Raw genomic sequence first — 13,364 nt, 5'->3', positions numbered from 1 at the left:
TTTCAGGTCAAAAAGTGCATTTGTACAAGTACGTAATAACTACACAAATGTTTGTTGAACACAAGACAAGTAGTTCTAGTACCTATACAAAAAGTAAGATAACTAAACTTTTCCTTAATATACACTTTCAGCAGCATCGACACCTAAAAGTGGCCGATTCTACTTCTGTATTAAATTACATTCATTTTGTCAACAAGTGTTCCAAATTCTTACTGCTCTTTGCCTCCAAAGGGTTCCTGCTGAATACTGAGACAGTTCAAGAATACTAAGGAAAAAAACATTAATGATCTAAGTAAGGGTCATCTAAGGATAACATGCCATATATATGGACACAGTAATACTGTATTTTCAACTTTAAAAAAGTTCAGTTGCCAAAGTTGTACAGCAAACACTATCCTAAGCTTAGCCTCTTCAGATATTTGATTTAAAAATCACTGTAAAAAACACCAGTCACAAAAAGCCACATTTTATATGATTCTATTTATATGAAATGTCCAAGATAGGCAAATCTACAGAGATAAAAATTAGATGAGAGGTTGCCAGGATCAATGGTGGGGGAAACGGGTACAGGGAGTGACTGCTAATCAGTACGGGGTTTCTTTTTGAAGTCATGAAAATGTTCTGAAATTAGGTAGTAGTAATGACTGCACAACTCTGTGAATATACTAACAACCACCAAATTGTACACTTCGAAGCGTTTTATCATATATAAACTGTATCACAATAAAGCTGTTAATTTAAAAAATGTTTGGCTATGTCAAGAAATAAAGAAGTAGGGTCATAACTAGAAGATATGGGATATGAAATACATAGAACAAAACTGCTCAATAATCTATCTAGAATCACACAATGCTTAAGCTTTACCCTGATTGAGATGGCAAGCTTTTACTTCTTCCCAAGTCAGCAAATAATTCCTCCTCCTCACTTAATAGTTGACTATGAAGAGCAAGCCATTTTGATTTTGCCTCCAATGAGCTTTCACATTTCATTCCTCCTTCCACTCCCATGACTACCAAACCAATGTAGGTTCTCCTCACTTCACTCTAAGACAACAGCGTGGCCCTCAACTACTGTCACACTCTTCTAGGCTCTGTGAGCACAATGTGTCTCATATTCTCTTCTGCTGTCACCAGATTTACTTTACAATAGTTTCTTTACTGTCACTCCCCTGTTCCTCAACCAGTTATACAGAAAGATGAATAGCCAGGGTGATAGTCTACTTAGCAGAGGGGGAAAAAAAAAAAAAAAGATCTGTGGCCAGTCCACAGACCTGTTTAAGTACAAGATATTACATCAGCACTATTTCCTAAAACTCTTCTACATGAGTCCTACCCTCCTTGTGTTATAGCTCAAACTGGTCTGGTATACTCTGAGTATCTCATTCTCTTTCCTAGATAACTGATTGTGTTTACTTTTCACCTATGTAAATCATTTTCCTTCAACCTCCACCAGCTGACCAAACCCGACACTCACATTTCACTGCCCAGCTGGGATCTCACCTACTTCATGAAGTCTTCAGGTCACTATTGCCACAGCAACTCTTTGCTGCTTTAAACCTCTGATAAATTAAGTCCATGGTTAGCATTTGATAATCAATGGAGTACTTAGTACTTTTAATCCCCTCTTATATAGCTGGCTTTGGTATAATGAAAGACACTTTATTAGGAATCAGAAGATTTATTTGAGTAGGTCACAAGCTGACTTATTCAAATTACTCATTTGAATAATGAGAACAATAACACTGTGGCAAAAAAGAATCAATTAAGAAACTACGTAACAGATTTTAAAACTGAAAATGGCATTATGCATAAAATATTTGTCTCTATTCTAGGTGGTAAACTAAGGTCATGAACTTAAATTCTTAGAATTCTTACAATAAAATGTTGAAAAGCTATACTGGCCAATTTTATAATCACATTTTAAAATGTTCTGATTAAAAAAAAAAAAAATTTGAGACGGACTCTCGCCCTATTGCCCAGGCTGGACTGCAACCTCCACCTCCTGGGTTCAAGCGATTCTCCTGCCTCAGCTTCCCGATGAGCTGGGATTACAGGCACCCACCACCACGCCCAGCTAATTTTTGTATTTTTAGTAGAGACGGGGTTTTGCCATGTTGGCCAGGCTGGTCTCAAACTCCTGACTCAGATGATCCACCTGCCTTGGCCTCCGAAAGTGCTGGGATTACAGGCGTGAGCAACCACATCTGGCTGATAAAAATGTTTTTATATATTTATTCTGAATTTGCAAATTTCTTCCAAATCTTTTCCTTGATCTTTTTTTTCTCTCAAATAAGATTTTGAACAAAAAATGACCTGTCTTCCTTTTCCCATGCTTATGGGAATACTGAGTAAACATCACAATTTTATAAACAAGCACATAAAACTAAAGCACAATAGTTGGCCAGGCAGTGGCTCATGCCATAATCCTAGCACTTTGGGAGGCCCAGGTGGGTGGATCACTTCAGGCCAGGAGTTTGAGACCAGCCTGGCCAACATGGTGAAACCCTGTCTCTACTAAAAATACAAAAATTAGCTGGGCATGGTGGCGCATGCCTATAGTCCCAGCTACTCAGGAGGCTGAGGCAGGAGAATGGCTTGAACCCGGGAGGCATAGGTTGCAGTGAGCCAAGATTGCGCCACTGCACTCCAGCCTGGGCAACAGAGTGAGACTCTGTCTCAAAAAAAAAAAACTAAAACACAATAGTTATGTCATTTCTCCCCAATCAGTAAAGGCTTCGTTAAAGATATTTTAACATTAAACTATGAAAAACGTAAGAACTATGACTTGGTGGCTAGTAAAAGACTGGTGGTGTCAGCAAGAGAAAGGTTAAAAATTTACTATTTTTCAGTCTTGTGTTTATTTTGTATATGTAAATATTTGGCTGGGTTACCTAACATTCCACTTCCAAAACTGATCATGAGGTTTTATGACAAAAGAAGTACTTTTTATAGCAATTTTACTGCCTGATCCAAAAACAGTCTACGGAAGCTTTAAAGGTAACAAAAGAAAACTGTACACAATTCTAAACAACTATTTCACACCCAACCTGGGATTTCCACTCACTGTGATAGTATATTTGTGATCAACTTTGTAACCACCTGTCAAAAGGAAACCTCTAACATCTGCTCACGAAGGAATCCTTCAGCATTTCCTGCTCTGCAGCAGAAAACACATGGGAATCACTCAGAACTCCAGATTTCCAAAAGAACAGCCTTTCCCAGAGAGTAAGCCAGAGGACACCGTCCTCTGAGATGCTATCGTGTAAATTATTAAACAAATTTGGGAAAAATAGAAAACAGCATTAAGCCTCCAAGAAGTCCTTTGGTAAAAGATATTCTGAACCTGGTTTCCCAAAACCTTGCAGTCCCCTCAAAACAAACATCTATTAACAAACCACTAGGTGGGGTGCGGTAGCTCATGCGTGTAATCCCAGCACTTTGGGAGGCTGAGGCAGGCGGATCACGAGGTCAAGAGATAGAGACCATCCTGGCCAACATGGTGAAACCCCATCTCCACTAAAAACACAAAAATTAGCTGGACATGGTGGCGCACGCCTGTAGTCCTTACTCGGGAGGCTAAGGCAGGAGAATTGTTTGAACCCAGGAAGGCAGAGGTTGCAGTGAGCTGAGATCACGCCACTGCATTTCAGCCTGGTGACAGTGAGACCCCGTCTCAAAAAACAAATAAAAAAAAACCCCACTACTATTAGTGCTTACAGAACATTTTGAGAGCTATGGCAAAGATTAGGTTGCAGGTGTCAGGTAAGTAAACTCTTAAGAAACAATACTGAAAAAAATAAAATTAAGAAATATTTAAAAACAAAAAAGGACAAAAAATAATAAAATAATTTTGAAAAACAATATTGGGCCAGGCACAGTGGCTTAGACTTGTAATCCCAGTACTTTGCAAGGCTGAGGCGGGTAAGATGGCTTCAGCCCAGGAGTTCAAGACCAGCCTGAGCAATATGGCAAAACACCATCTCTACCAAAAATACAAAAATTAGCTGGGCATGGTGGCATCCCAGCTACTCAGGAGGCTGAGGTGGGAAGATATCTTGAGCCCAGGAGGCAGAGATTGCAGTGAGCCATGACAGCACCACTGCACTCCAGCCTGAGCAACAAAGCGAGAACCTATCTCAATAAATAAATAAGTAAAAATAAATTATATTGCTTTACCATGTGGCAGAACTCAAAATGAGCTCAGCATATCCATATGTAATACGAAAGGTTAAAAAAACAAACAAACACACACTTTTTGTTTCTCTGAGCTTTACAGATGGACACCATGCCCAAATAACTATTCTGTAGTATCAACACCAAAGTTAGTATGTATTCTGACTACACAGAAATGATTCTTAACAGGATTTTAGCCCCCAAAACACATATATAAGCATGTAAAGCAAATATAACTAAAAATAACTGTAGGAACAAAGCTCTTCTGGAGAAAGTTCTGAAGTCTGAAGCAGTCACTCATATTTTTACCCTAAATGCAACTATTACTATCTCAACCATAGAAATGATCAAAGGAAAGGCTGGATATATTTAGATTTTAACCACCATAATGTAGATTATGTCACATAATAGAATTAGTCACCCGAGTGTTGGAACATTCTCAAGTTAAACTGCTCATACTTTGAGGGCCTACTGAACATTTCATAACTAACCTAACAAATTGTGATCTTTTCCCCACCTTCTGTAAGACTTCCAACCATAAAAAGAAGCAATACAATTACCATTTGACCCTAATAAACTGCAAGTATTACCTCTAGGAGTAATTAGCCAGTTCCATAGGTCCATGAGATTTTCCCATGATTATCCCTAAAAGTACCAATTAGGATCACAGGCATGTGGGGACCATTCTCTAATCGTAACATTCTCTAAACCCTCAATCACAATTTACATTTGAAAACATTAGCTTTTTTATGGTAAAAAGTATGTGCGTATATATACGTGTGTGTGTGTGTGTGTGTGTGTGTATGTATAAATACATGTGTGTATGAATCATTAAAAACTTTACCTATCAACAACATAATGCTTTACAACTAATGGTTCTAGGTGTGGGCCCCAGAACAACAGCATCAACTTCACCTGGAAACTTCTTAAAAATGTAAATACTCAGGCCCCACCACAGACCTACTGAATCAGAAACCCTGGGACTAGCTCTCCAAATGTTTCTGGTGCACACTATATTTAGAAGAAAAAAAAAAAATGCAGGCCAGGCACAGTGGCCTCATGCCTGTAATCCCAGCACTTTGGGAGGCCAAGGTGGGAGGATCACTTGAGCCCAGGAATTCAAGACCAGCCAGGGCAACATAGTGAGATCTCGTCCCTATAAAAAAAAATTTTTTTTAACTGAAAAAAATTTCTTTTTAAGTAGTCACTTAAACTTACCCTCCTGAGAGAACAGGTAACACCACTCGAACAAATGGAGGATCAAATGGAAAGTTATCCTAAAAAGCAAATAAGCAAGTTTAATTAATTTAAAGAACATCCTTAGTGTTATACTATTTAGAAGATTTTAAAAGATACTATAAAGAATGTGTACATTTATTATCAGATAATGGGTAAGAGTCATAAAATTAGTACCCAAAACCAAAATGAAAACCAAAGCAAATAAAAATGAAGTTAAAATCAGGCCCAAACAGAACAGCATTATGGTAAACTGATGAAACACATGAAGGGGTTCCACTTCACTAGAACTATATAAAGGAACCATTCCAATAATGATAGACTAGGTAACTTAGATAAATCTTCTGACTGAGAACTAGAAAGGTGAACAAAACATAATAATTTCAAGGCTAAGAAAAGGGAACACCAGAGAGCAGGATCTTTTTTTCCCCCTTAGGTTTTCTTCCAATTACAGAAGAGAAAAAGAAGAGGTTCACAAGCTGAGCTAGAACTCACAGACTCACAGAGCTCACAGGGAGATAAATACTGGAGCTCAGCGTCCACCGAGGACAGGCCCTGCTAAGTCTCCGGCTCCTTAGGTTGGGACCCTGAAGAACAAACTGCAAATTGCCCTGACAGGGAATGACAGCCAGCTTTAATCATCTCATTTTTTAAGCAAATTCTAATTAATTTTGATTTGCATTTTCTAACTTGCAATAGAAATGTAAGATTATCCACAAGATACCAACTTAATGACACAAGATACCAACTTAACAACAGTTATTATAATCTACTTTCAAATAAAGTAGCTCACCTTTCATCTATATTTAACAGACATAATGAAAGGTATAGAGGTTGATGTAAGCTTGGTAAAGTACAATTTCATTTAACCTCCTATTATTTAGATCTTTAAACATGTGAATCCCTAATGAGTGACTACAAAACCTCTTCATTATGTATGATTTAATTCATTTTAAACAGTTCAGAATAACTCTTCTACATCAAAATCTGCGGGCTCTATTCCATAAAGTCTATACCCTGGAACTCAGGAATCCAGATTTTACAGAAATAAAAAGTTCCTCAGGGAGGAAAAAAAGGTTGAGGATGACTGTTAAAATGAAGTTTCAGTTACCTTAGTACATATTAACTCAGAAACAGACTCTCAGACTCTATAAAGGATCTCAGAAAGTTATCTGAGATCTTAACATCTTAGCCATCTAAGTTATTAAGGAAGAGGAACATTTTAAAGACTACATCACCAAATGGCTCTAAATAGTTACAAATCGCTTCCTCACATTGAGTTGAAAATCACCTCTTTGTAATTTGACTTACTAGTTTCATGCCCTGCATTCACCAAAAGCAAATAAAAACTAATGCTTCCATATACACAGTCCTTCAAATAGCTGAAGACAAGATAACATCAACCCTCATGTTCTCCTCTCCAAATCCACAATTTCACCAGCTATCCTAGGACACGGAATACAATCAATCTCTTCCCAATCCTGGCTATTATTCTCTAAATGAACCTAAGTTTATCTAAATAGACCCTTCTTAAAGTACTACCTCAGAATTCAATTCAGTAATTCAGATGCTGCCCGAAACACCAAAAAGTGACTTCCTTAAAAATATAGCAAGTTGGATTTACCAACAAGGTCACATTCCCTCCTGCCCCAACTCCCATCTTTGTGTTATGCTTTATCTCAAGTTCCATTTTTCTTATTATTCAAGTTGTCACCGTGGACATCAGAGGCCATAAATATATACTGTTCTGGCTCTTTCCTGCAAATCTTTCTGAGTCATACCTGCTATCCTCCAAAGTCTGTGAATCCCGATACTAATAACTTGGCAATTCAGTTTAAGGTCCTCTTCATAAGGTCAGTTAGCTCAAGGCAATCACATTCTTCCTAGGCCTCTCAAGAAATACTCCAACCCCAGAAAAGGCCCTTCTTTGTGGTATCAGGAGCCATGGTCCAGAAACACAAATCCAACAGAAATTCAGCCATTTACCTCCCAGATCGTCCCCTCCCTGAAGTTCTACCTAGAGCAGGAAAAAATAATGAAAACACTACCTATAGTCACAAATCCTCCAGTTTCCTGGCCAATATTTCATATTCCCGTAAAGATACCTCTCAAAGAGGAAGTGACAAGGGAGGGGCACACAGGGGGCCACAGGGACGGATAAAAAAAAAAAAGGTTCTATTTCTTAAGTTTGGTGTTAGGCATAAGGACATATAATTCAATTTTTTAAAAAGAAAGATACCTTCCTTTTTTGTGTGTTTTGTTTTTTGTTTTTGGCCTGGGTGCTTTATTCGTTCCCCCATATGAATTAGTAAAAATGTAGCCATTAGCAACTTCAGTCAATATATACCAGACTCATATTTTAGGAAGACAACCCAGTTGACAACCACAACAGTTTCTATAATAACAAAAGTGAGAGATAATACTGACATTTGGGTCACTTCAAGAAAGTTCAATCATAAGATATATCCCCAAGCAAAAACACACACATAAAAAAGCTACGTAAGAAGCTTTTAGAAAATTACTACCTTTTTTGTAAGTACAAAGGAAGTATTGCTTTTTCCATCAAAATATCTCATATATCCACAGATTTTAAACCATTACATCTCATCCAGATCCATATTAAATCACGCCTGTAATCCCAGCACTTTGGAAGGCCAAGGGAAGTGTACCATGAGGTCAGGAGTTCAAAACCAGCCTGGCCAAGATGGTGAAACCCCATCTCTACTAAAAATACAAAAATTATGCGGACATAGTGGCACATGCCTATAATCCCAGCTACTCGGGGGGCTGGGGCAGAGAACTGCTTAAACCCGGGAGGCAGAGGTTGCAGTGAGCCAAGATTGTGCCACCACACGCCAGCCTGGGCCACTGCACTCCAGCCTGGGCAACAGAGCAAGATTCTGTCTCAAAAAAAAAAAAAAATCATTAACATTTTTTCTAGATTCCATTGCTATTCTTTAACCATTATTTTTAGCATCTTTAAAATACTTATTAGGCCAGGTGTGGTGGCTCACACCTATAATCCCAGCACTTTGGGAGGCCGAGGCAGGCAGATCACCTGAGGTTAGGAATTCAAGACCAACCTGGCAAACATGGTGAAACCCCGTCTCTACTAAAAATAAAAAAATTAGCCGGGCATGGTGACATGCACCTGTAATCCCAGCTACTCAGGAGGCTGAGGCAGGAGAATCACTTGAACCTAGGAGGCAGAGGTTGCAGTGAGCCAAAACTGTGCCACTGAACTCCAGCCTGGGCAACAGAGCAAGACTCTGTCTCAAAAAACAAACAAACAAACAAAAAAAAACCTTATTAAATATAACACATAAATTCAGAAAAGTACATAAAATATAGAGATATACCTTAAGAAGCTATTGTAAATTATGTGCTCATGTAACCATCAACCTGGCCCAGAAATATATTCCAGCCAGTATCCAAGAAGCCTGCGCAGATATACCTTTCAGTTCACACCTCCCTACCTCCCACCTAGATGGACTCCTTACCCTAACCTGTATGTAATCACCTCTTTGTTCTTGGACAGTTTTCCTCTTTGGGCAGTTTTACTGCTCACGTATGAATCCATAAATAAGTGTTTCTCAGTTTTCTTTTCATTTTTGCCCCCCTAAGAAGCCTTTTTAGAAGTTTTCTTCCTAGTTTTACCCCCCTGCTCCATGGAATTTTAACACCATAGATAAATCGTATATCTGTTTATGTTCTGTGGCCCTTTGGAGGGCAGCAGACCATTTTAATAGCTAAGATTGTTTTCACTCTAAAGATCAGTTTTCACTACACTGCAGGTGATATTGCCTCCACTAAGAATGCATGCCCTAATCAACATTAGTTTTACCTATTTTTGAACTGTATATAAAGGGAATTGTACAAAATAGGTTTTGGAGTCCAGTCTCTTTTACAACTGTGTTCAAGATCCACCCATCTTGTCCCACATAGCTGTAAACCACTTTATAAACACCACAATTCTCCATTTTATTGGAATGAACACTTGGGTTTTCTATTTGGTGCTATTATAAACGATGCTGCTCTGAACATTCCTGTGTCTCCTGGTACGCCTAAGTACTCACGTCTTAACGGAGAATATGTCTACGAGATTCCTGAACCATAGGGTATGAGTATCTTCTACTTTACCAAATTGTTTTCCAAAGCACTTGTACAAATATACGCACCCCACTGGAAGTATATGGGGTCCTGTAACTATTTTCTTACCTTAAAAGAGAAGTTAAGCAAAATATATTCTATGCCTTCTTTTTCTTTTAAGATCTGAAGATCACTGTGCAAAGGACTATCAGGGTCAACCCTAAGAATTACAAAACAAAAAACAGTTCAAATAAAAAGTTAGAGATTTTTTTTTTTAACTAAACTCAAAAATGAACTAGTATGACAGCTAAAATAGAGCACCTAGGGCAAGTTCCAGAAAGAGAAGGTCTAAAGCTGCTCTGTATCACCAGGAAAAATAGAGGTCACCATAGGTTCCAGCTCCTTGGGAATAAATGTCCAAAAGAGACCATAATACTCTAAATCTAATCTAGTAAAGGAGTTCAGAGTTTGCAGTCACTCTAAAGGAAAATAGTCACATGAATATAATTTTCTCAAGAACTCAAAAAAAGTTTAGGAAAGCATATTAAACTTACATTATTAGCCAAAGGGTTCAAGGAGAAAAGTTTGCCATGGTCAGAACTATGAAAACTTAAATCACTAAAAAAACCTGTATTTGTCTACAACTGTCCTATATATACAGGTCTAATTTGAATCCCACCTCCCCCCAACTTTTTTTTTTTTTTTTTTTTTTTTTTTAAGAGACCGGGTGCCTCATTCTGTTGCCCAGGCTGGAATATAGTGATACGATCGTGACTCACTGCAGCCTTGATGTCTGGAGTGCAAGATCTTCCTGCCTCAGCCTCCCACCACCCCCAGTAGCTGGGACTACAGGTGTACTCCACCATGCCTGGCTAATTTTTTTTTTTTTGTAGAGATGAAGTCTTGCTATGTTGCCCAGGCTGGTCTCAAACTCCTGGGCTCAAGAGATCCTCTCACCTCAGTCTCCCAAAGTGCTGTATATATTTCAAATATAAACTGGTTATCACAGTCTCATGAAGTTATTAAATACACTTTTGTTTTTAAGTTCCCCTGCTCTAACTCCATAAAACACTTTATCCCGCAGCTGGTCCCTCTTTCTGTCCTTCCTCTTTCTCACTTTCTTATTAGACCTCAGCAACAGCTCATTTAAACAATCTAAGAACTATTTCTATAGAAACAAAGTCTAAAGTTCTAAGTAAAAGCCATAGTATAAAGGTATCAAGTTAGAAGGAAAATAACCTCCACTGTGATAGTCTACCATTGCAAAGAGTGGGTGAGCATTAAAAAGCCACTTACTTCTGCAGTTTAACATGCCAGTCATATAAACTGTCATTTATGAGTTCCACTGAATAAATCCCTGTTAAGATATAGAGCATGTTAGCTACTCTTCATTTCATCATATAACTATTACTATGGTATAAATGTATACACTAAATAGCCAACGAAAGCTAGAAATTTTGCTCTTAAAACATGGAACAACTAAGCTATATAGTAAATATTACACTACTGCAGCTGAGTATCTTATGCCCTTAACAGATAATTACAGCCATCAACTGAGAAGATTCTTTAATGAGTTGAAAAACTGCTTACCGTTTAGTCTGACTGAAAAAAAGATTATGCAAAATCATATGTACTTAAGACTTTTCTTCCATGAACACACATTTCTACAAAGATGGAATCCTTCTACGTATGTTGTTTTATAATCTCTCTTCAACTTTCAGGGACATCTTTCCAAGTTAGTATACATAAACCTATTCACAATCTTTTTAATGACTCTGTGGTAGTTTATTTTATGGATATGCTTTAACAAATTCCACCCAGTATCTGTTTTTTTTTTTCTATATAAACAATGCTGAAACAAATGATTATTTAACATTTAAAAATAAAACCAGTATTCAAATGTTTGTACTTTATTAGGTTTCTACAGATAAACTTTTAGACTTCTTACACAAAAAACCGTAAGGACACCCACAATTCTAACAACTCAGAAACAAGTTTGGCTTATCCTGCACACTACAAAGCAAGGATTTTTTCCTTGTTTTTATTCTTTAAGCAAATTCTAATTAATTTTGATTTGCTCACGCTAAGAATTCCTGAATCGGTCATAATGCTAGAATTGAATCGGTCATAACCCTTTTTTTTTTTTTTTTTTTTTTTTGACAGAGTCTCACTCTTGCTGCCCAGGCTGGAGTGCGGTGGTGCAATCTTGGCTCACTACAGCCTCTGCCTCCTGGGTTCAGGTGATTCTCCTGCCTCAGACCACTGAGTAGCTCGGATCACCAGGCGTGCGCCACCACACCCGGCTAATTTTTTATTTTTAGTAGAGATGGGGCTTCGCTCGCCATGTTGGCCAGGCTGGTCTTGAACTCTTGACCTCAGGTGAGCTGACCACCTTGGCCTCCCAAAGTGCAGGGATTATAAGTGTGAGCCACCGCACCCAACCAATGCTATCTTTTCAAATTAAAGTTTGGCTCATTATTTAATACTATTAGAATCTCCATAACAATATGAGAATTTTACCTCTAGTTAGAGAGGTTCCATAACATTCAAGTCATATTGAGTAAGAATACTCGTCAAACAAGGAAATGAAAACTTTAAAAACTTATATATTTTAAAGGTAATAACATAACTATCTTTACAATAAAAGCTGATTATCTTGCTTTCAAAAATGGGGGGGAATCATAAAAATCAACTTGGCAATTATTCTCTGTAAAATGAAATGTTTTACTCTTATTTACTTTCCAAGCAATATCGCTCATGCTTTCCCCAGAAGATAAAAATCATGTAAGAGTTCACTGTTTATCAAGAAGAGGACAAAATTCCAATGGACCTATAAAAACATTTTTTAAAAATCCAAAAGACAAGTAAACTCATCCTATTTTACTCCTACATCTTTTGGAACTTGATTGCATTTGAGTTTCACATTCCTGAAATAAAGCTAGTAAACATTTCCATTTCTGTCCAGTTTTAAGAAATGACATTTATAATCTGACAATAGAAAAGAGCAGAAGAATCATAAAGAGAGCAGGGATCCAGAGATCCTTACCTGTTTTATAACTCTGTGATCTGTATATGTCCCTGAGCTCTTTCATAAGTCTATCTGAAGCTTGCACTGACCCAGACACTGCACCCTGAAACACAAAAGCCACTGTTTACCAGGGTCTGCTGAGCTAAGATTTAAGATATTTCAACCTGATCTAAAAGATTACAGCAAAAATGGATCACCACTCAACATTTTTTTTTTTTTTTTTTGGAGATGGAGTCTAGCCCTGTTACCCAGGCTGGAGTGCAGTGGCGCAATCTCAGTTCACTGCAACCTCCGCCTCCCTGCTCAAGAGATTCTCCTGCCTCAGCCTCCCAAGTAGCTGAGACTACAGGTGCGCACCACCACGCCCAGCTAAATTTTGTATTTTTTTTTTTGGTAGAGACGGGATTTCACCATGTTGGCCAGGATGGTCTCAATCTCTTGACCTCGTGGTCTGCCTGCCTCGGCCTCCCAAAGTGCTGGGATTACAGGCATGAGCCACTGTGCCCAACCTCAACATTTTAAGAAGTAAAAAAAAGCCCAATTAAATGAAGCATTATGAAGTTTCAAGAGGATATTAAAACTAGGCACAAGTCTAGTTCATTTCCTATTTCTTCTCATGTGAAAAAGTCTAGCCAACATGTCCAGACCACCATGGATTCCACAATAACAAAGAATTCAGTATGAGTCTATTCCAAACCCCAGCAATTTTTGAAAATACTAGAAGACACTCAAGGTGACACATTATTTACTAAAATAGAGTTCCATTCATAAGACTACAAACAAGAATATTACACAGATGGTCTAGTTCGCACATTAAGACACTGAGAAACATCTGCCTA

At 38.0% G+C, this 13,364-nt stretch overlaps 1 protein-coding gene across 14 annotated transcripts in view; it reads right to left on the bottom strand.

Annotated features, from left to right (window-relative positions):
• UBE2Q2 (ubiquitin conjugating enzyme E2 Q2) overlaps positions 1-13,364 on the bottom strand; it is a 57,632-nt gene that overhangs the window by 12,264 nt on the left and 32,004 nt on the right. For 7 of the 14 annotated variants that reach the window (NM_173469.4, XM_005254787.3, NM_001284382.2 and 4 more), the window contains 4 exon segments: positions 12,544-12,628; positions 10,794-10,854; positions 9,627-9,717; positions 5,391-5,449 (listed from right to left, as the gene is read on the bottom strand). In NM_173469.4, coding sequence (NP_775740.1) covers positions 5,391-5,449; positions 9,627-9,717; positions 10,794-10,854; positions 12,544-12,628 — 296 coding nt within the window. 14 annotated transcript variants of the gene reach the window in all.

Source organism: Homo sapiens, chromosome 15 (assembly GCF_000001405.40).
Source record: "Homo sapiens chromosome 15, GRCh38.p14 Primary Assembly".
NCBI classification, from domain to species: domain Eukaryota; kingdom Metazoa; phylum Chordata; class Mammalia; order Primates; family Hominidae; genus Homo; species Homo sapiens.
Note: the sequence above shows the minus strand (reverse complement) of the source record. Positions and strands in the feature narration are given on the sequence as shown.